Source organism: Homo sapiens, chromosome 12 (genome assembly GCF_000001405.40).
Source record: "Homo sapiens chromosome 12, GRCh38.p14 Primary Assembly".
Taxonomy (NCBI): domain Eukaryota; kingdom Metazoa; phylum Chordata; class Mammalia; order Primates; family Hominidae; genus Homo; species Homo sapiens.
The window spans coordinates 83,019,857-83,044,839 of NC_000012.12; the positions used below are offsets into that span (position 1 = coordinate 83,019,857).

Consider the following 24,983-nt stretch of genomic DNA (forward strand, 5'->3'; position numbering starts at 1 on the left):
CTAGCATCTTAGTATGACTGATAAGCCAGGTATGCCCTGCTCTTGCCTGCATTTTCACTTTTTTGTATGGTTCGCCTTCACTCCCCTCTGCCTCACTCAACCTGGGCTTCACACAGTGTTTTTGTTTTTCTGCCACAGATATTTTACCTTTGCTGTGCCTCTACTTAGAATACTTTTGTTTCTGCTTCAATTAGCTAATCATACAAATATTTTGATTTTTAGATCAAGCATCAATTCTTTGGAAACCTTCCTTGAGTATTTCCACTAAATCAGACCAACTGTTATAGGTCAAATGGCCATCGATTGTGTTTGTCATACTCTTAGCACCGGAAGTTTTTCGTGCTTCGTTAGGGCAGGAGTTGTGTGTGCTCCAAATCACCATTTTCATTCTAGGGCTCAACACAGCACTGGGCACATGGTAGGTGCCCAACAAATATTCATCGGAATGAAAGGAATCAATGAATACATTTAATGTATTGTGGAAATTTCATTGTTTTAATTAAAAGCAGACACTTTGGTTTGTAATTCAGAGGTAAATTCTATGCATAATTCTAAAGTCTGAAAACAGCATATTTTAATATTTAAAATGATTTGCATAATTTAAAAATGAAATTTTAGGATATACTTGTATTTACCTGTAACTTTATTGTAAATTTAATTCAAACATAATTTCTACTTGCTTCACCTTAGCTTCCTTAGATGTTGTAATGAAATGTCTGAATACTGTTTTCATCAACTGAGATTATGGATGGATAACCCTTATGATAAGATGTTGGTTTTCCCTCTACTTTGAGCTTAGTGTCAGGATACCAATATAGCAACCTAAGTAATTTTCTCAGGTGGAGTTTAAGATGTGATTGTAACCTATCAAATTATCTCCACTGAAATGTTACTGCAGTATGTGTGGGTGACTCCTTTAAGTTAGAAGGGAAAATATACAAGTGAACAGATGTAGAAAGGAAATTAAAATGGTAACATTACAGGAAGTCTGAGTAAGCTAAACACCTTCATTTATGTAATATTCATAGAAGTCAACCATGTTGTGTTTATACCTTAAAATCTATCTTTTTTTACTCATAATGTCAAAGCTGTGTAGAAAGCAACAGCTCAGTTTGAATTATAAGAATCTCAGGTATTTAAATACATATTTATGAAAGGTGAGTTACTTATAATTTGAATGGTTATTTAAAATGGTCCTGTATGTTTACTTTTTATAATTCTTTTTATTATATTTTTTAATTGAAAACATGATTAAAATGTAAGTGGGTAAGTTTTTTGCTGTTGCTTTTCCCATTTTCCCCCCTTGGCATTCTTGCAAGTCTTTTTCTTTTGCTTTCTTCTCATTGCAAGGTATCCGATTTCCAGTATTCTTATGTCTTGCCAATTCTCGGCCTATGGCACCCTATCTAGTCGGTGTTTCTGAATTTCTTCCACACTCTTTTATCCTAGCATCTCAATCACACAGAACTCTATCACTCCACTACATAGGCACCTTCCTATCAACACTTGCTTTCATACAGTCTTTCCCATGTGAATAAATGATACCTGCATTCACCCATGTACAGCAAGTGAAAATTTGTGAAGTCAAACTAGATGGGCATAGTGGTGTGCACCTGTAGTCCAAGCGACTTGGGAAGCTGAGTCGGGAGGGTCACTTGAACCCTGGATTTTAAGGTTGCAGTGAGCTATAATCATGCCACTACACTCCAGCCTAGGCAACAGAGTGAGACCCCATCTATAAAAAAAATTTTTTTTTAATGTAGAGTCATCTTTGACTCTTCTTTTTCCATTATATCCACACCTGATCCACTGGCCACTTGTCTTTGAAAGAGATCCTGAATCTACTCATTTCTCATTACTTCCACTGCTGTCACTTTTGTTTAAGCTGTGGAGTATTAACCTTCTAAGAGGTCTCCCTACAGACAGTTTTCCACCCAAAATCTAGGGTGTTTTCTAAAATTTATAAGTGAGATCATATTGTGCCTCTATTTCGAATCCTCCATGATGTTCCTTCCTCTTCAAAAGACACTCCAGGGCTCAATACAGCAGCATATACACTAAAAGGGAAAGGACACAGAGATTTGATGGCTCTTGTACAAGGACGTCACATAAATTCATGAAGTGTTCCATATTTGCACAGTTCCCAGAGGCTGTTCAACCCTTTCTTGGTTAACACCTAAGAAAACAATATGAGTAAAAGCAACATGTGGCATTCAAATTGAAATGAATTTTCACTACCAAAAAAAAAAGAAGAAGAAAAGAAAAGAAAAAAGACTAATTTCATGCTCCTTACAGAACCCACTAGGCCCTGCACAGTCTGGTCCCTCCTGTCATACTCCTGACTCACAATTTTTTATGGGATTTGCTCAACTGCTGCTGTGATGTTTTCCTTGATAGGCCCAAAGACTCCAAACATGTCAGATCTTTGCCTGCCCTGCCTACTCCCTTAGGTTACTCTTCAAATATCACTAAAGGCCTTCCTTTGTCACTTTATCACACATAACCCTCCCCCCTCCCCCCGCCCCAGTTGTGCATTGCTCTCTTCCGCATTATTTTTCACAAAGCACTGAAGACTGACAGTGTTACCTACTCATGTGTAAACTAAGGATTCCACCACTAAAATGTGAGCTGCACCAGGGAAGGAACTTTGTCTTGATTACCAAGGCCTGGAACCGAGCCTATCACATAGCAGGAACTTAATCCATTTTTATAGAGTGAAACATCACATCTCTGAAGCCTTCTCTTTCATTTCTCAGTACTTAGATGTACTGTGTTCTTGAGGTACTTACTTTGACCATTAGCGTAGTACATTTTTTTAACAGTCTACACTAGATGTCTTCTTCTCTTCTCATCAGTCTCAAAAGATCCAGTGACTAATCTTTTTATTCACCTTTGAAATCCCTACAGTAAAATGAGCCAATTATACAGATGGTGCAATTAAGAAAATGTTATTAGGTTATAAACTATAATTTACAGCCTGCTTATTTCATTTAGCACTGGATCTTGAAGAACTTTTGTGGTTTAGATAATTTTCTGCACAATCATTTTAGTAGAAACATTGTATTTCATTGAAATGATTTTTGGCTACTCAAGTTCATGCTAGCGGACATTGAGTTCGTATGAACAATATTATAATAAAAATGAATAGCAACTTCTTTGTATTTAAAGGTATTTTCTTAGGACAAATAGGTAGAAATAGAATCAGTTGGCTAGTGTGTCTGTGATTTAATGCTTTTCATATGTGTCAAATTTCCCCCAGGATGTTTTTGTTACATATTACCGTATTTTAATAGCGTGTCATATGAACACCTGTTTTTATGAACCCTCAGGAATATTGAATTCTCTCTTTATTTGGGAAATTTTTTAATAGATGAATAACATCTCCTTGTATCAATTTGCATTTTAGGTAAACCGAATACATGTTTCTTTAGAAATTCTGACCATTATTTTTTGGTATTTGCAAACTATTCCTATGTGCCCTTTGCTCATGTAACATATCTGGCTCCCAGGCTGGAAAGGCAGCTGAGTGTGATGATCCACTTCTTTATCTTGGAGTGAAACTCAGTCTGTTGCAGTCTTTTATTCCCACTTGGTCAGCCATTTAACTTCAGCCAGTTTTGTGACCTCCTCCTTTCCCAGGGGTTAACCTAAAACTGGGAAGCATAATGGTGCTCACAAAACTAGGAGGGAGGCTGTCCTGGCCATCTGATCTGAGCTGACACCACCTTACAGCCTGATGGCTCTGCAGTGGCACTGAGGATGGGCTTCAGGGAAGCTTTGCTCAGGATGACAGTTCTGGCTCTGGAGTCCAGCCTTGTCCTGGGCATAATACCATGGAATCATTCCTCCCTTGTGAGGTCTCTTCGCCTATTCTGGATGTTGTCCTTGAACAGTGTGAAGCACTCACTTTGACCTCTAGCTGCCCTTGGTGTCACTTGATACAATTTTTCAATGAGCTTAAGTCCTATGACACTATAAGTATATTTCAGCCAGCCTCTGCTTTAGGATGTTTAGGAAGAGAGGGCACAGAAGACCAGATATTTATAGAAAGTGGGACTTGGATGACAATTCAGGGAGGACAAACATTAATATCAGTTAACTGTTCAGCCAGATCATTTCTGTATCAGGTAGCTTTATTCTGTCATTTCTATTTATGATGTTGTAATGTTCTATAGCAGAATATGGTGACTGTACTTAACATCAATGTATTGTATAGTTCAGAAGAGCTAGAAGAGAGGATTTGAAATGTTTTCAGCATGTAGAAATGATGAGTATTAATACTCAAGTTGATGGACACCCCACCTCAACACACTCTGACTTGGTCATTATATGGAATATCACATGTAACAGAATGTCACATGTAACACATAAATATGTACAAATATTTGTATCAAAATTTTTTTAAAAAATTTTAAACTATCAAATAATGTTCCTTTTATTTGTAAATGATGGTCATCACAAATTACTTTTTACACTCATTTAACTATAATGCATGGTTAAACAACATATTTTTCAAACTACACATAAGCTTTTGGACCTGTTTTATCAGCTGCTTCCCTTTCATATTTGTTATTGGTATAGAGATAACATTTGAATGTGAAATGAAAATGTGATTTGCATTGGTTGTGAAAAATAACAGACACTCACTATTGTAAGAAATTCCCAAAGAGTAAACACCAGACATATGGAAGTGGCTGCTAGAACACACTACTTAAGAGACTGTTCCTTCCCCAGACTTGAAGCAGCCTCTAAATAAAGAGTAGGGCCACTGAAATGAAGTTCTCTGGTTTGTTCTTGATTTTGTTCTAGTTGATATTCCTACTGATGCTGAAGGTATAGGTAATCACCAATTAAGATACAAATATTTGTTTCAGCATGTGAGCTAGTTCAGAAGAACTATTTTTATCATTTTAGAAACCTTAGCTGGTATGACATTTTCCAGATATGAAATGGAGAAGTTACTACTTTGTTCACCGCTCTGTAATTTACTAATAACATGTAAATAAGTAATTAAGTAGTAACTATAAACTATTAAGTTATATAAAGAAAATAGGGCCATACATGGTGGCTCACACTTGTAATCCCACCACTTTGGGAGGCCACGGCAGCTGGATCACTTGAGGCCAGCAGTTCGAGACTAGCCTGGCCAACATGGTGAAACCCCGTGTCTACTAAAAAATACAAAAATTAGCCGGGTGTGGTGGTGCATGCTCTAGTGACAGCTTCTCTGGAGGCTGAGGCATGAGAATGGCTCGAACCCAGGAGACAGAGGTTGCAGTAAGCTGAGATTGCACTACTGCACTCCAGCCTGGGTGACAGAGTGAAGCTCTTGGAACTCTGTCTCAAAAAAAAAAAGAAAAGAAAAGAAATCATAGTAGCCTATTTATATGTTGACTGGTTATTGTATTTATGGAATACTTGGATGGCTATAGAAGAAAAGGTAAAGATTTGTGTTAGTTTATAGAACACGATTAATGCACTATTTACATTAGGGGAAAAAGTATATATATGTATATTTATACATAAATGTATTATATATATTTACATATAAATGTATTATATATTTATATTTATGTATAGTAGAAAAACATTATTTTCTCCTATTATACTCTCAACCTAAAACACTTCTGACACAAGTGTCATTGCGGGAATTCCGCACAAACCAATCATCAAAGTTACCACAAACCAAGCCGTTGTCCCGCAGACACCAACAGGATGCCCTACTATTAAATTCTGACACTAAACAGAGTTAGTGCAGACCTCACAGGTTAAGGACTCAGTCTCACAAAACTGCTGCCCCACTTTAGGTGCCAATCCAAGTTGTAGGTTTCCAGGTTACCCACAAACTTCTATACAACATGACTACAAATTGGAGGTTCCCATGACCCTCTTCCTGGGTCCAGTTTGCTAGTGTAACTCACAGAACCCAGGAAAACAGATGACTTACTATTGCCAAATTATTACAGAGGATATTTTAAAGGATACAATTGAACAGCCAGATAAAGAGATACACTTGGGGAGGTTTGGAAACATCCTCAGCATAGGAACTTCTGCCCTGCTGGAATTGAGGTGTGCCACCCTACTGGGGTATAGACATGTTCTTATTCACCAATGCAGAAGCTTTCCAAATCCTGTAATTCAGGGATATTTATGGAGGTTTCTTCATGTAGGCCTAATCAATTATTAACTCAGCCTCCATCCCTTCTCCTCTTCCCGGAGAATTGTGGGAAGGGGTGGAGCTGAAAATTCCAAGTTTCTAATCATGGCTTGATCTTCCTGGTGACCAGCCCCCATCCAGGAGCCTATAAAGATTTGCCTCATAAGAACAAAAGACACTCCTTTTAGGCAATTTCAAAGAATTAGAAGCTATGTATCAGGAAACTAGGGTAAAAGACGAAATATTAGAGCAGAAGATTCTCCTAGTACCCCTATGGCTCAAGAAATTACAAGGATTTTAGAAGTTCTCTACCAGGAACTGGGGATGAAGACCAAAATACACATATTTCTTATTATAAATTGAAATATTAAAATTTACATCTTTAAATATACAAAAATATATATACATATTTACATAAACACTCAAAATCATAATGCAATGCAACAATGTAAGGTCTTGGTGCCTTCAGGTGTCATTTAGTAAAATATTTCAGAGTTGTGGTTATCAAGACACACTACAGAGTTGGGTAGTTGATGTAATAAATAATTTGTCACTAAAGATAAGGGACAAATATTTGAGTATAGTTTACTTTTTAAAAATAAAACAATTTAAGCTGAAGCCATAATAGTCTAATTATCTCATATTTAATATTCCTCCTTGCTCTAAGGGGAGTTTTAGAAATGATTGAAGGAGTGTGTGTGTGTGTGTGTGTGTGTGTGTGTGTGTGTGAAAATACGTGTGTATTTTTATATTTGTGTATTTTGTGGTTAGATAAACCATTGATCAGTGATTGGGAGAGATGCTGCTTGCCTTGTACATCCACTCAGCTGCGCACCTGAGCTGAACAGTGGTAGTGGCATCCAGTTTAGCTAAGAAAACAAAATCAATTAGCTTAATACTGATCCCATGATATAGATTAGGCTAAACAAATTTTACTGAATATTTCTCTTACATTTATATGTTTTATTGCTGCCAATCCGAGTGGACCTGACCAGGCACTCTCCTAATTGGGATGGTGGTTTTTTTTTGTTCATGAGTTTAATAAATACTGGTTGTTTTTAATACTCAATACAGTCCGTTTTTCTTCGTTTCTGAACCAGTACATGTGTTCAGACATGTCAACCAGTAAACAAAATGAGGAATAATGCTTGTTTGTGCCGAATGCTGACATAACATAAAAGACACCAGGAAAAATCTGCTGAGAAATGACTTTTTCTTCACTTTAACTGCCAACCCTCTAGAACAGTAACAGTTGAAATAGTAAATTTGATTAAACATCATATTACCTCTTCTTCCTCATGCTTCCCTCCTACAAACCAGCAACCTTTATCCCTGGTTGGCTTATGAATTTGGTTGACTTTTAATTTTATTTACAGCAAGTCATCACTTAACGTAGTTGATAGATTATTGGATGCTGCAACTTTAACAAAGCAAAAGGATGTACAGCAGGTCCTTGAAATAACATTGTTTTGTTTGATGTTGTGTTGTTATAATGCTGATGAGGAAAAAAAAATGATTTCGTCATATGTCATTTCACTTGTAGTTGATGTTTCCAAGAACCGACTGACCACATTAAGTGACGGCTTACTGTACTCTCCTGAGAACTGTCTTTTCCTCTTTATCATTTGGCACTTGGCTAAATAAATAGTGGTCAAAGCAGAAAGATGAGTTTTTGTGTGATGGCACAGTGTCTCCCCCTAGAAAGAATGTTCTCACCTTCAACGTGTTTATTTTGCATCTAGGAAAGCATGAGACTCATTGCATTTAAAAATTTGGTCCACTGAGCAACAAGAGGGTACTGTCCTTTGAGTTTTGCTGCATGTTTTTAAAATTTCATAATATTGTTTTGCCAATGGACTATACAGAGAGATTTTACTACCCTGTTTACTGTGACATTGATAAAAGAGCCAGTTCCTTCTTTTCTGTTCTTAAAACTTAAGTGGAAGCTTCTTTTTTAAATCTTTGCATATGACATTTGTATAGACAGTGCTTTACTGATGATAGCTTTCATTTTACATCTTTTTTCTTAAAGTATCATTTTTTGCAAATTCTTTGTATATTGCTTTCTAGTGATGATTTTGTCAGATGACCATGTGTTTTGGGGGCTGTGTATAAAACAAAATACATTATTTGTCATTTATAACTGCATTTTTTGCACACTGTCGAATATATATATGTGTGTGTGTATATACATATAAAGTAACAGTTAACATTTATTACAAACATATACGTAGGTAGTATAATAGTTAATTTACATGTATCACATCAGATAAATCAGAAATCCTAGGAGATAGGTTTTGTTATCCTTTTTAAAAATTAAGACTATTTTAAAGTAGTTTTAGGTTATTAAAAATTGAGCAGAAAGTACAGAGTGTTCCCATAAACCTCCTCACCTTCCCACAACCCCAGATACACAGTTTCCCCTATTATGATCAACTTACTCTGGTGTCGTAGATTTGTTACAGTTGATGAGTCTATAGTTTATATTGCAGTTCGCTCTTTTGTGTTGTGTGTTCTATGAATTTGGGCAAGTGCTTAATGGCACGTATCCACCATTACTGTATCAGATGAAATAGTCGCATTGCTCTAAAAATCACATGCTCTGCCTGTCCTCTTTTTTTTTTATTAAAGAAATTATAGTTACAAGTTGAAATAATTTTCCAAGGGTCACATAGCTAAACAAGTGTGGGAGCTGTTCTGCTTCCCTAGAATCTGTACTCCTAATTCATACATTAGGCTGCCTGATTTGTTACAGTTACTAAATCATTTAGAGAAACCTAATCGGTAAGATACTTGCTAATTCTTCTTATTTTTAACTTTATCAAGTGTATGTATAGGAAACATTCTGTCTGTGCTTTCCTTTGAAGTTAAAATGTGGGAAACATTGCAGGGAATTTAAAATTTTTAATTACTGCTATTTGACAAGACTTGTGATTTAACGAGGAGTTACTGAATAGAGTAGCATTACTAAATTGATAGAAGAAATGAGGAAGTCTGTTGTCTGATCATTTGCTTATCACTAGCTATAGGTAGTAGAGACATTAGGTTATGTCCTAGCTACTAGAATAATGAGTTAATGAAGGATGTAGCAACAATGAGTTTTTTGTTTTGTTTTGTTTTGTTTTGTTTTTAATGACGGAATGAACAAAAGGAGAGGGAGTATGGAGAAAAGAGTCAAAGCTGCGTACCATGTAGCACAAGTTGTCCAACCCACAGCCTGCAGACAGCATGTGGCCCAGGACAGCTTTGAATGCAACCCAACACAAATTCATAAGCTTTCTTAAAACATTATGACAGTTATGCATGAACCTTTTTAAAAAAAAACTGATCAGCTATCATTAGTGTTAGTGTATTTTATGTCTGGCCCAAGACAATTCTTCTTCCAATGTGGCCCAGGGAAGCCAAAAGATTAGACACCCCTAGTGTAGCAAATTAGGTTAATTATATACCTCTAACTTTAGAAAATTGGTCTTCATAACAATAGTTTTAAAAATATACTCAAAGTAAGAAAAAAACATTGCCTGAAGTTTATGTGGGTAGAGAGTATATAAATTAGGAGCAGGCAGGTAAGGTCATTTGTCTTTACCATGGTCTGTGGCTTTGGACACCACCCAGTGCCTTACTACCCTTCATAGTCACCATATATCTTCATCCCAGCCATGCCAAACAAGATAGAACTGCTCCAGGCAAGTGCTTATTAGGGTTGTTCTCCTATCTTGTGCCATCCTTCTGTGTTACAATGGAGGTAACTGTGGTTCAGAGGCAATAACTAGGTGAAGAATGTATACTTTTAGAATCTGTTTCGACTGTGGTATTCTTTAATGAAAAATCAATTTGTTGTATGTAAACGTTCACCCCTGTTTTTTGCTTATTTTCCTTGTGCGTATGATGGTAATATTTACTTAAAACTACAACAAAGAAAGTGACCTAGCTTTAGATTAAATCCTGGATTAGCAGAATTTTAGTCCTGAGTGATTGCAGCAAGGATAAATAGCTGCTTGAGATTCACCAAATTGTGACTTCTTTTTTTCATAAATGGCCTGTAAATATTTGGCCTGTAATATTTTTCATTACAGGCCTGTAAATATTTGGCCTGTAAATGCCAAATGTTGAGGCCAAGGATAAGCTGTAAAGGGTGCAAAGGATGGCTGTCTCATTTCGTTTAGCCTTGGCCTTAATCAGTCTAGAATGAGGTTACATAACAATTCTGTCACACTCTTCTTAGTACCCTTGGATTGTTTTAAGTATTTTTGGCATACATACATTATAAGAAGTATTATTATTTTCTAAAGGAGGAATGACTGTGTAATTCAATATAATTTGATGAAATATAATGTTAGGTATTTTGAGATGCCTGTCATCTCAAAATTTAAAATGGCCACAGTTCTTTACAAGGAAAAAGAAGGAATGAAGAGGAAGCAAATGAAAGGGAGAAAATAAAATAGAAAATGACAATAATGTTTCTTTAAAACTGTCTTGTCTTTCTGGTTTCTGTGAGACCTTTTTTGTTTTTCAACCTTGTCTCTTGCTTTCCTGGCCTGATCTTTTTGGTGGGCCATTCTCATCTTCTGTTATATATTCTTCATGCCTTCCAGGGTTCAGACCTCAGTGTTCTCTCTCAACACTTTTTCCTTGATCATCCTCACATAGATAAAAACAAAAATTTTTTTTTTCCTTTCCTATGATGATTACCAAGTAGACATTTGGCTACTTCAGTTAGGCCCAGGCAGTGAAGAATCCCTCATGATCTGTTCCTGAATCATCCATTTTCTCTGTTTTTCAAGGGTCGTAAGAGTGAGGCTGAAAAGCTCTTCTTGAAGGCTATTGAGCTGGATCCCACCAAAGGAAACTGTTACATGCATTATGGTGAGTGGTTGATAGTTTTTTTTCCATGTCCCCCACATTTACTATTAATGTTGATATGAGATCTAGGCTTTGCTGGCAAAGAACATTTTAAGAGGAGATGGACTTTGTTATTGCAGATTTAGCCTCATGCTATATTCCTACCTTCTCATTCAAAACAGTCCTATTAGACGGGCTGTGCATTATATTTTCCTTTAGTAATTTTAATAGGATTTTAACAGGGATGGCATTACACAGTTGTTTTTTTTCAAGTTCAGTGTGGAGTTTAAATGAGATCTCATCAGGAAAGCATCTAGCTCCTTGCCTTATGCATACTTTATAATACAACATTTGCTTCTTTTCATTCTAAGTGATAACGTATTGCTCATTGAGCATGTCATTTTGAAGTTTTAGAAGTTTACATTTTGGCCTCAAAAGTCTTGCTTTCTGGAAGATATGGATGTACACTAGCCTGTAAATGCCAAATATTGAGGCCAAGGATAAGCTGTAAAGGGTGCAAAGGATGGCTGTCTCATTTCGTTTAGCCTTGGCCTTAATCAGTCTAGAATGAGGCTACATAACAACTCTGTCACACTCTGCTCTGTCATTAGTAGTGATCATGTGTTTAGTGAGGCAAAGTATATAGCTGGTTTGATATTGTGTAAGATGTGCTTATTTCTACCAGATTTGCAGTTGGAATTTCTTTTAGGGAGCCAAAAAGCATTTACTTTGGCTGATCCCTTGGGGGGAAAATGTGGTTTTTTGATCACTGTTGGCTTTGATGTATTAATGACTATCAAGTAGTAAACTTAAAAGTGGACAGAAATTAAATATAAGGAAATAAAACCAATATACTAGTAGAATATTTAATTCCTTCTCCCAGTTTCCAGCTAATAAAAATAAATCAGTGACAGGCTGCAAGTGTAGAAGAATGGAAATAATAAAATAATGGAGATACTCAAATAACCACAAATCCATTTTTTACTTTATGTTATTGTGTGTCTATGTTTACAAACCTAGGGTTGCAGTGCATTATCTTCCCAGCATTAATGCGGGATGGTACAACTCCTGATTTTGTTTCACAATGCAGCTGTAATGCCATGTTAAAATAGTAGTCAACTAATTTAAGTTTGCTGCAGAATTTATTTTTATTTTTATAGGTTTTCCTATATGAAGTACTTCAGGATTTTCTCATGCCTAGTATTTTTGGGTACCTCAACTGTCCATGAATGTCGTTCCATGGTGATTTTCCCTGAGTGCTAAAAGGCTGCCTGTCATTGCATGTTATAAAATAGGAGGTTTTTTTTTCCCACTATCTGCTGTCTGCATTTCATTTGCCTCATACTGATTCTACTTACTGCATCTTCTAAACTTGTTTCCTATAATATTATAGAGAATATTTTATATATATATATATATATATATATATATATATATATAGGTTTGTCACAATCCATTTCTTTAAACAGTATCATTGCTCCTTTTGAACTGCAATTTCACTATTTTATTAATTTTAAAAGTTGGCCCCCTTATTAATCTGGTTATATCCATCTTCTACTTATAAAAAAAAGTATTGTGAGTTTTACATTACATCATACTCCTAAAATATTTTTTTCCAGTGGTGATAGTAGCGGGTATTTCTCCCATGAAAAATTTTTGGATTTAAACAGAAAGTTCTACAAAAAAAATTTTTTTTTTAATTTTTTTAGATGGAATTTCACTCTTGCTGCCCAGGCTGGTGTGCAATGGCACGATCTCGGCTCACTGCAACCTCCACCTCCTAGGTTCAAGCGATTGTCCTGCCTCAGCCTCACAAATAGCTGGGATTACAGGCACCCACCACCATGCCCAGCTAATTTTTTATTTTTTATTTTTTTTTATTTTTAGTAGAGATAGGGTTTCACCATGTTGGCCAGGCTGGTCTCAAACTCCTGACCTCAGGTGATCCACCTGCTTTGGCCTCCCAAATTGCTGGGGTTAGAGGCGTGAGCCACTGCGCCCAGCCTACAAACTTTTTATTTTGTGTGGTATTTGGAAAGCAGTGATAACAAATGTCTTTAAATGCATGTGTAAAAACCAATTCTTCTTAGAACCCTTGGATTGTTTTAAGTATTTTGGCATACATACATTATAAGAAGTATTTTATTTTCTAAAGGAGGAATGACTGTATAATTAAATATAATTTTATGAAACATAATGTTAGGTATTTTATGAAATTTTATAAGTTTCAATATTTTCTCCTACTTTGGAGTTGGTAATAGAAAGAACTCAAAATGAGGTTCCAAAAAGGAGTAGTAGTTAGGGCAAAATAATCTACAAACAGATGAGAAGGCCATAATTGAGTGCGTGAGATTCTTTGCTCACTGTGCTCAGATTATAAAACATGAAAATTTAAGAGAATCTTAATGATTTTCTTTTAGAGGGATCTATTTCAAAGGATTGAATTTTAGAACTGGAACTGTAAAGTTCTGTTAAAATTATGTAATATAACCTGTCTGTTGAACAAATAAGATTGAAGCCTAGAGAAATGAAGTTGACTTGCTCAAGTTAATTACAGGTAAGTTCTGGATTCCTTGATTACTGTCATGCTTTTTCTTCCATAAAATATATTCTGAGTTCGGGCACGGCGGCTCACGCCTGCAATCCCAGCACTTTGGGAGGCCGAGGCGGGCAGATCACTAGGTCAGGAGTTTGAGACCAGCCTGACCAACATGGAGAAACCCCGTCTCTACTAAAAATACAAAAATTAGCTAGGCGTGGTGGTGCATGCCTGTAATCCCAGCTACTCAGGAGGCTGAGGCAGGAGAATCACTTGAACCCGGGAGGCAGAAGTTGCAGTGAGCCAAGATCGCACCACTGCACTCCAGCCTGGGTGAGAGAGCAAGACTCTTGTCTCAAAAAAAATAAATAAATAAACAAAAAAACCATATAAATATATATATATATACACATATATGTGTGTGTGTGTGTGTGTGTGTATATATATGTATGTGTATATATATATGTGTATGTGTATATATATATATGTGTGTGTATATATATATATATGTATATATATCCTGGTTTGGGGTTTTTGTGGTTTTATTTTTGGGGGTTTGCTTTTTTTTTCCCCAAAATATTGGCAAATAGAGACATAGGTAGATATTTTCAATCAGTAGGCCCTGCTGTGCACAGTTTTAGAACTCAAATTCATGTCATGACTTAGCTTAAAGTTCATAGAGAATGTTTTTTGATAATTTTAATATTTATACAGTGTATCTACTAGGTGCAACCACACTGTTCTGTGTTCAGAAAGTAATACTGTATAGGAAATAAACAGGATGTCATCTTTAGAAGGTGATGAGGTAGGAAGTTGGATACTCCTTGAAACAAGGTAGTCAGATAAAGCATCTTTGAGAATATGATATTTGAAATCTCTATGTTAATCCAACTATTAAAGGGCTACGTTCATACAGAAGAAAGAGAAAGTTCAAAGGTCCAAGACAATATTAAGCTTGTGTTCACAGCAGAGAAAAAAAAACCTAATGTGACTGGATCCCATCGAACTAGGTAGGAAAATGGGAGGAAGGGAGGCCACAGAGGAACCAGAAGTAGAGCCCATAGGGACTTGGAGACTGAGATAAGGAGTTTTGCATTGTATTCTGAGTGTACCGGAAGGGACCATGTGGAGAAGACAGGACTAGAGAAAGGTCAGAATAGAACAAGGGAAACTCTGTAGATAGTTGTTGCAATGTTTTCATCAAGAGATGATGGTGGTTTGGACTTGGAAGTAGTTGTGGGAATGTAAATATTTATACTGAAATTGTTTGTTTACTTCCTTTAGAAGATTCTAACATAAGAGTAGGGATGGTGTGTTTTCCATTTTTGTATCATCAATATATCTACTATATTGCTGTTTACACAGTAATGTGCAATGTATATTGAGCTCAGTTAGGAATATCCTCCATTCTAGAATTGGATCTGGATTACAAAATTGCCTGAAAAGATGTTCTATTTGAATTTTTATTTCTTGTTTAAGAAAATACGTACTATGATTCTCGTATCAGTTCCTTGCCAACTTGCTGGTTATAGATATTCTTAGATTGTTATGCCAACAGATTGAATGAATAATAACACTTCCTCAACTTAAAAATAAATGTTTAAATGAAATATATGTGTTTTGAGTCTTTTTAAAATGCTTTTGCAAATGCCAATGAAAGTGCCAGAGTGAGTGAGTTTTGTATGGGAAATCCACTCTCTTGTGTGATTTTGTGGTTCTGATTTGCTTGTTAGTGAACTTCCAAGTGACTTGGAAAATACCATCCAGTTGGGATTAGACAGAAGGAATTATATTAATTTATATTTGCAGCAATGGTGATTAGAAGGCAATATTTTAAAATGCTATCAGTTACTTGTGTTTTTGTATCCACTAGTTTTGTTCGGGGGAAGAGATTGCATTGCATATTGCCTTTTTAAAATTTTTTTCAGATTGGCTTGCAAGAAAGAAAGCAAGCTAGGCAGGTTTATACAGTTAGTTCAGTCAGTTGGTTAAAGGTTGTGCTGTGTGGTACCTATAGTCTCTGGGATTCAGATTTCTTATCTGAAAAGTGAAAGATTGACATGGACTCCAAAAATGTTTTCTAGTACTCCGATTTCTTGTTGTTTGTAACATATACCCAATTTCTCACAGCTCTTTTATCAAAATTTTAAGGAATGCGTAGAAAATAGGTTTCAAGCTATGGTATAAGTAATAATACAACATTGTGTATTTGTATGTTGTCAAGTATTCCATGTCCATGTGAAGCAAATTATATAAAGTCTTTATTGAATTCAGTTTATAAATCTCAAAGGTGAGGATTTGGTGCCTTGGTGTCTCATGTGGGCCTGTAATTCAAGGGATTCTCTGTGAATTCCCCTGTACTCTCCAAAAGAATGAAGGTCAAGACGAGAAGTCTCTTTAAAAATGACTAGAAAAACCATTGTTTCAGATAGAATACATTATAAACCTTTAGTGTAGGTGCATAGTAGTAAATTTGGTGTCAATTGAAACAATTTAAATCAATGAACATTTGTTATGAGGTACCTACTGTATATAAATTTTGGCACATGGGGAATTCATGAAATATTGAGGACTGATGTGTGAAAAGTTAGAAGGGAGGAGATTGTAATGCTACTGAAGAAAAATACTCTTATATACAACTCGAACAGTTTCTTCTTTTCCTGTCTTCCTATTAACAGTGAGTTTCTAAAAAGCTATGGCCCCATTATATTTGTTATTGATAATGGTGACATAATTCATTTCCAAGGGTTCAGCTGTGTAGTGATGAGTCCTAAGCCTCTTACTTTTAGCCTCCTGCTCAGTATTTATCCAGCACTATGCTAGATATAGGGACACAGTAGAGAATAAGACCAGCTCTAGCAAATCTTACAAACTGGGAAGGAGACACAAATTGTAAAAATAGTAGTTTAATTAGTTTAAAAAATCCATCTTTCTTGCTTGTGAGCTCATAGAAAAGTATAGATTTTTTAAAATTATAATTATCTGTATTATTATTATTTGGCTCTATTATCAGTTTTAGAATGCTACTACTGTACATTTATTAAGCACTTTGCCATCTATCTTATGTTTTCTTGTCCCCGAGTCTTTTTTTTTTTTTTTTTGCTTCATCATCCAACCCCTGTGAGGTAGGAATAGATCCTAATTACATTTGACTGAGAAAATGGAAGTTCAGAATTTTTAAGTGACTTCCTATTTCAGAAATGTTCAATGTGTTTAGTGGAGGAAGAACTTGAAAAGCCCAGCTCTTTCAACTTTTAAATCCGGAACTTTCTACTGTTATTATTATACTCTGTTTTTCTCTAGGATGGTGTCCTAGTCCATTTTGTGTTGCTATAACAGAATACCTGAGACTGGGTAATTTATAAAGAAAAGAGGTTTATTTATGTCTGCAGGCTGGAAAATTCAAGGGCATTGCCTTTGCTTCTGGTGAGGGCTTTTTTCTACCTCATAACTTGGTGGAAGAAGGTCAAAGGGGAACAAGAGACATAAGAAGAGAGAGAACCCAAGGGGCATCCAGGCTTTATAAGAACTCACTCTCATGGGAACTAATCCATAGTCATAAGAACTAATCCAGTCTCACCAGAGAACTCACTACCACTATAAGGGCACCAAGCCATTCAGGAGGGGTCCACCCTCATGACCCAGACACCTTCCTATAGGCCCCACCTACCATCATCACCATATTGAGGATCAAATTTCAACATGAGCTTTGGTAGGAACAGGCAAACCATATCCAAACCGTAGCAGATAGTTCATATATTATTTGTTTCACTTTTAAAAGTAGGCTCTGGAGGACAGTGTTAAAATAATAGGTTTGGTCTTTCAACACTGAGCACTGAAAGTAGAGGCTTGAAATATGTAATGAGTTGAATTGGTGAGTGGCCTGTATTATTTTTTATTATTCATAACTAAAGCTACTTAGAAGATGGTAATGGACTGAGGCTATGTTTTATCCTTTCATTTTTAGTCACTTTAAAAACAGCCAGAGGAATTTTTTAATTACATAATGAACCAAATAATATTGCCTTAATTAAAAATGAAAATAGATTTTGAGTCTTTGCAAAATTACATTGAGATTACAATTACGTTTAATACTTAAGACCAAACCATGTTTTTTAAAAAAATCAATGTTTAGTGTCCCTTTAATGCTCTAAGAAGAGCATCAGCAATACACAGATATGTAATTAAATTAAGGTTTTCCTAAAGGTTGTTCCAAACTATTTCATTTCTCACTTGTGATTTTTTTATTTCTAAATCCCCATTATTAAAATGTATCTAATAAATTAATACAATTTAATCTTCATACCTTCGTGTATTTTACATAAGATACTTTCCAAAGGCTTTTATAATTGAAACTTTCCCATAACTAAAATGGGAACAGGAAATGGTTTTAGCTTAAAAGCAAAGAATTAAGGAAAAATTAAAGCACTAATATGTTTCTGAAAAGTAATATGATAAAAAGACAATAAACCGTTAAAGAATAATTTCTTTAAAGGCAAAAAATAAAAGATCAATCTACTTGAGAGATGAGAAACTATACAACTACAAGGAAAATAGAATATAAAGAACAAGAGATAGGAACAAATGATACAACCGGTTTTAAAAGTTAGGTAACCATCATTCTCAGCAAACTATCGCAAGGACAAAAAACCAAACACCACATGTTCTCACTCATAGGTAGGAATTGAACAATGAGAACACATGGACACAGGAAGGGGAACATCACACACCGGGACCTGCTGTGGGGTGGGGGGAGGGGGGAGGGATAGCATTAGGAGATATACCTAATGTTAAATGACGAGTTAATGGGTGCAGCACACCAACATGGCACATGTATACGTATGTAACTAACCTGCACGTTGTGCACATGTACCCTAAAACTTAAAGTATAATAAAAATATATATATATACTCAAAAAAAAAGTTAGGTAAACATACAATCTCATTGGAAATCAAGGGAATTAAAATATAAATTATAACGAATTCCCTCAAGCTGCTCTAACACATATTCTCAATAATTCTCTCTTGATAATTTATCTTAAGGAAATAAAGTTTTTTTAATGTTTAAGATTATCAGCAAAGATAGTAATTGAGCCTTGACTTTGCTATTTGTTACAGGTAAAATGGGAAAGCATATATCTGAAATATCTGATCTAAATATCTGAAAAAGGGAGATAGCTCAATCAAATGGGATTATTTCCATTTGATGAAATCTTATAAATCCAAAATTAAGGTTATGAAAGATACATAATAATGAGACAACTGCCTATGTTATTATGTTAGGTGAAAAAAATAAAAATTATACATGGAGTATGAATAAATTCTACAAAATAACTATGTCATTAGAAAGCAAAACAAACTTTTTAAAATATCAGAATGTTTAGAATGGATGTATTAGCTTTTTAGACATGCACCCTTTTGTTTTCCTTTGTTCGGAAGGCTTAATGTTTTCTATTTTAAATTTTCTATAATGAGCACGTTACTTTTATGAAGGACAAATACTTTAATAAAATATGAAAGAACAAGCACCTTGGTTTTTTTTTTTTTTTTTTTTTGAGATGGAGTCTCACTCTTGTTGCATAGGCTGGAGTGCAGTGGCGCGATCTCAGCTCTCTGCAACCTCTGCCCCCCGGGTTCAAGCGATTCTCCAGCCTTAGCTTCCCGAATAGCCGGTATTATAGGCACCCGCCACCATGCCCGGCTAATTTTTGTATTTTTAGTAGAGACAAGGTTTTCCCATGTTTGGCCAGGCTGTTCTCGAACTCCTGACCTCAGGTGATCCACCTGCCTTGGCCTCCCAAAGTGCTAGGATTACAGGCGTAAGCCACCACGCCTGGCCAAGAACAAGCATCTTAATCTATTGTTCAAGTAGATAGCAGGATAATTATGGTAACCAACCAATTATCCATAATTATTGAATAGAACTCAACATGTAAACTTTCAAGACATAAAACTTAAGAAAGGAATAAAGTAGAGAAAGATCACTTGCATGGAGTCTATTACATATAATATTTCCATTATGAAATATTCAAATATGATATTTGATGAATATATTATATATTTGACAAATATATATTATATATTTGATGAATTCATAATATAATAGTACATTTACTGAGTACTTTTGTGGCCTGAGAAATTCACATATAGCATCTCATTTAATTCCCACAGTGAGATGGGGAGGGTACATGATTATGTTTATTTTACAGATGAGGAGAGTGACGTCATCAAGCAGTGACTTTGGAGTTTATTACCCAAGGTTTCAATGCCAGTTAATAGTAGATAAATTCTTTACAGGGCCATTTGTGCTATACTGCAATGTTATCATCTCTTATGTCAACGTATAGAATTATAAGACCATGCTAAGATGGTATGATGACATTCTATGGTGATGTCATTTCTCACCCACAAAGTTTTATTATAGCTCTTCCAAAAAACGAGAAAGAAATGAAACTGTGTTGTAAAGTATACTATAGGATTGCAAAATGCTTCACAATATTAGGATGATTAAATCAATTCAAGTAATATGGTGTGTCCTTACTCCAGAGTTATGAAAATTTGCAGAAAATAAAGAGCTTGGCATCATGCTGGGCACATATGTGCTCATTAATGCTAGTGCTGTTATGACTGAAGCTCAGTGTTTAACAATTACATTCCTGACCAAGCACTGGGCACTTTTCTGCATATTTTTGTCAGTTCCTGAGTCCTGTGCAGAAATAACATTACCCCTATTTTACGGATATAAGATTTAAGGTTCCAATAGTTTAAGTGGCACATTGAAGTCCCTATGACTAGTAAGTTGGCAGAGCAAGAATTTGAGCCTCTTCTGACACCCCAGCTCACAATATCCTTGTTCTTTCAAAGATATGCTCTTACTAAATGTGAGCCTTGTGGGTCTCCAGTGGTGACACAGACCCAGAGCCAGATTGCTGATATTATGGAGGACTGCTGGTGAAGAAATCCAGGGAGCTCTGATCATTGTGTTCTTGAAGGCCCCAGGGAGGAAGGGCAGCTTGAGAACCGGAAAGGAGCTCATGGAGAAGTTAGTAAAAAGAAAAGGGGGAGGCAAGGCACCAGACCTCACCCTACATGGTGTTATTTACACTATCTCACTTGTTCCTTCTAATAACTCAGTGAGATTGTACAGATGTGAAAAGTGAAGAAACTGTAACTCAAAACCAAAGAATCAAGACAATAACCAGAGTGGCCTTGCTGCAGGGTTCCAGCCCTGACCACAGTGCTTCACCTAGGAAGGCTGGTCAATCAACTTTTTTTCTGTCCTTTTCTTTTTTTTTTTTTTTTTTTCTTTTGAGACGGAGTCTCGCTCAGTCGCCCAGGCTGAAGCGCAGTGGCACTATCTCTGCTCACGCAAGCTCTGCCTCCCGGGTTCATGCCATTCTCCTGCCTCAGTCTCCTGAGTAGCTGGGACTACAGGTGCCCGCCACCACGCCCGGCTAATTTTTTTGTAATTTAGTAGAGACAGGGGATCACCGTGTTAGCCAGGATGGTCTCGATCTCTTGACCTCGTGATCTGCCTGCCTCAGCCTCCCAAAGTGCTGGGATTACAGGCATGAGCCACCGCACCAGGTCAATCAACATTTTTCAATACAAAAATGAATAAAGAAGGGAAGACTGGCCTTTGGTTAGTTTTCAACTTCCCTTTTCTCATCTGTGCCCCCTTTTTTTGTGTATGGAAATAGAATCCACTTTAAAAAAAAGTGTTTATAACTAGGTCATGCTTTGCTAAGGCGACGTATAGTTATGTAAAATTAGCATACATTCTTTTCAATCTGTCTTTGTATAGGACTCTAGAAGCCACAAAAGCAAGATGATAAGAATTGAATTAAGATGTAGATGTAGGGAGTAGACAATGCCATAGATTTTAAACAGTGACATGGATTTGGAACAAGGCACACCCAGCCCTACTGCAGATTATCTCCTTGAGCATGAGGTGACTTGTGCTGCACTCTCTGCTCCTCAGTGTCATAATCTAGAGAGGATTACTATGGCCTAAAGTTGTAAGGATTTATTTACGGTTTTATAAAGTAACTAGCACATAATAAATGCTCAGTGAATTGTGACAATGGGCATTTATTATTTTAAAATTATAATAAAAACAATATCCTGGAGAATGATTAAAAATATGAAAAAAATTTTGAATAAGGTATATAAATAAAGGGACAAATTAAGGGAAGAAGAGACACAGTAAAAACCTAGGATTAAGAAAAAGAGGACTGTAAACCTCTTTACATGTAAACAAAAAGATCAGAGAAAGGGGATAATTGCAGGAGGATGGAAGATTATAGGTAACCTTACAAATAAGAGAGTAGACATTGTGCTCAACAGTCTAAACAGTTCTTTAAGGGAAAATTAATGGATTGTTTCCATTATTCCATTATTTCCGTAAGTACACGCTCACTTAACTGGGTAAATCACAGGGGCTTTTCTCTGTAGCTACAAATCTCAACATGGCTCATCTTGGAGAACTCTGTAGTGTCTATGAAGTTTGTGTTGTGTGAAGATAAATTGAATACACACACACAAACACATTGGTGGGGCAGGGAGAGAAACAGTTTCTCCAGTCTTACCTATTTTGACTTGGCAAGCAAATCCACTTTGAGGTTCTTGTTTGCAATTTATTCTTCTGCCTTAATTAAAACAATTGCTCTCAAAGCTTGTGTGCCCTGCTATTAACTATTCTGTGCTTTGCTTGACACATCTTGAAATGAATATCTCAGAAAAGCCCATTGAGATGGTGTGGGAGCACACTGAGAAGACCTGGAGCTCTCCTAGGAAAAGGATGTTTGGGCTCTTTGAGCTGCCTCTCTCCATTCTCATTACTGCTCTAACTCAGTCTCAGAGGAGCGGGCTCCTTTCTTTAGTTACTCAGAAAATGTGTTTGAGTCCTCTTGTCTACCTCATCTCTTTCCTTACAACTCCCTAGTGTAAGAATGCACCCCATTCTATAAATGAGGCTGCTCACCTCTGGATCTCTAATGAGGTTGTATTCCTCGTCTAGTTGCATCCTTCTCTTCCTCTTTAAGTGATAAAACCCTGAAGATAGTTTGAAGCCCATCATGAACTTACTTTCTCTTTTGAAGCATTCTTGATCCCTGTTGAATCTGTGTGTTACTTAAACCTATGATGAAATTGTGTTACCTTCCATTCCTTGTCCCTCCCCCGATTCCTTCTCTCTCCCTTATAGCTTCTCGCCTCCTCCCCAGTCTCCCCGCTTCTTCTTAGCCGGCAGAAATTCCCACACCCTGTCAGACAGTCATCATAACTCCCTCAGTGGTTTTCTGGCATTTCATAACCCTTTTGCAAAGAGTCAGGGGAGAAATAAATTCAGTAAAGTACTTCAAACCTTCCTGACCTCCTTTCCAGTTGAGCACAGGGCCCTGGCCTTCTGTTTCTCTAATCTTCTTCACACTAGACACCTTCCTTGCCACCTGTCCAAATCAGGACAAATACTTGGTCTCGTGTTCACTTAGGAACAAATCCAGGGCCTCCCAGTCTCACAATAAGCAGTCCAGATTGATCTCTTGGGTATCTTTTCCTTGTTCACCAGCCACCTGTTTTCTTGGCCGGTAACTGTGGCACATTTATCACATTAGGCCTGTCTCACGAAAACCAGCATTTACTAACTTAGGCTGCCAAGGACATAAAAACACAAAGCAACAAAACGAATAAAGGGAAGGCTAGAGAGATTAGTCTGAAAGAGCGAAAGCATATTTGAAATGCCATGGTGACTCAGAAAAAGACACTCAGCAAGGCTCCTTTCAGAGAGGCAGAAAGAGAAGAACCCCCTCTGTATTTTTAATTATCTCAGAGAATTAGTGTTAACAAGCTACCACTCTTTAGTAGTATCCCCTACCTACAGCTAGTCTAAAACCTGACTGCTGTGTTATCATCAACCCTCTCTTACCAGGAGTGTGTTACTACCCTCTTCTAGTAGAAACACCCCATAAGTGACTTGCTTCAATTCCCTTTTATGCACTCATCTTGTTACCACTAGATGTGACTAAAACCAGTTAGCCCAATTACTTCCATCTTGGCTTTTCCCCATTTCTAATCATCAGAATCTTTGAAAAAGTCCGCAGGTACAGATAGTTGCTTCCGGGATGCTGGCAATGTTCTGTTTCATGATCCAGCTGCTGGTGGAACAAAACCAAACCAAAATTACCTCCATTCAGAAATAGAAATGATGCATTCAGCCTGTGATACCTCACACCTCCTTTTCAAGTTTAGATGAGTTTTGGTGTGAAACTATCTCTGTAATCTCCTCTCTCCTCTAATAAAATGGAACTTCTTCAAGGATAAATATTGTGTTTATCTTTGTATGCCCACTGCAAGTACTACTATATTTTGTGTATAGTAGACACAATATTAATTTGGGGGGTATATTAACCTATGAAAGAAACTATCTTCTGTTTTCAGATTATTTCCTCTTCTGTTCACAGTCTGTTGAATTTATTTCACAATACAATAGCATATAATAGGTATTAGTAGACAAATTGCATAGTTTGAATTGTTCCGAAATTAAAATATATTTGAAGGTATGATTGATATCTGGATTTTTTGTGTTTTCCAAGGGAAATTCAGAGTCCTAATATCAGAGCCACCATGTTGCTCAAATCCAGAAACCGCCATTCATAGAAACTTCACTGTGAATGGTACCTTTGGGAAGCATGTGTGGCCGTTTACTGCACCTCTGCCTAAGATCACTGCAAGATATGGAAATATGAATAGGAAAATTTCTGGTGATAAATGCTGGATAGGTTCTAGCTTGCTCTTGAAGATGAGAGCCACATAGAGATATTATTAATATTAGTTGGTTCAGTCCTTTCATTGAACATACATTTATTAAATCTCCAAAGTGTGCCAATAAGTAAGAGAGAAGACCACTGGGATATCTGGGGAAAGAACATTGCAGGTAGAGGAAATAGTGAGTGAAAAGACTCTGAACCAGGAGCCATTGTTCCTCTGATGTATTACAGGAACAGTAAGAGAGGGTGGGGAAGAACCTGTGCTGATCATAGCAAGCTGTGTAGGCCAGTGTAAGGGTTCTTGAATCAGCTGTAGAATAACAATCCGATTTCCATTTTACCAAGATCACTCAGACTGCCGTTTTGAGAACACCCTCTGGATAGAAGTATGGGCACTATTTAGGAGGTTATTGCTGTCATCCAGGGTGATGTGGTGGCTTGAGACAGAAAGGTATCACTAGAGTTCAGATGATTCTGGACACATTTCTGTGATCAAATGTCATCTTCCAAGGACAACCACTTTAATGCAAATGCTGTTTTCTAGTTGTTTTATAAAAAAGATTTTTATTTGATTTTGAACAGTTTTAAAGCTACATATGAATGATTCTTTTCTAAAGAGAATTGTATCATGACACCTATTGCAGATTGTTTTAGCTCTTTAGTTGCATTGATCCTGAGTG

General features: G+C 36.4%; 1 protein-coding gene and 1 pseudogene across 5 annotated transcripts in view; both read left to right on the forward strand.

Moving 5' to 3' along the window:
- The window catches only part of TMTC2 (transmembrane O-mannosyltransferase targeting cadherins 2), a 447,961-nt gene that overhangs the window by 332,951 nt on the left and 90,027 nt on the right, over positions 1–24,983 (forward strand). For 4 of the 5 annotated variants that reach the window (XM_017018884.3, NM_152588.3, NM_001320321.2 and 1 more), the window contains one exon: positions 10,942–11,023. The exons of the other annotated variant lie outside the window; for it this stretch is intronic. In XM_017018884.3, coding sequence (XP_016874373.1) covers positions 10,942–11,023 — 82 coding nt within the window. The remainder of the gene's footprint in view (positions 1–10,941; positions 11,024–24,983) is intronic. 5 annotated transcript variants of the gene reach the window in all.
- Positions 2,034–2,136, forward strand: RNU6-977P (RNA, U6 small nuclear 977, pseudogene; annotated as a pseudogene).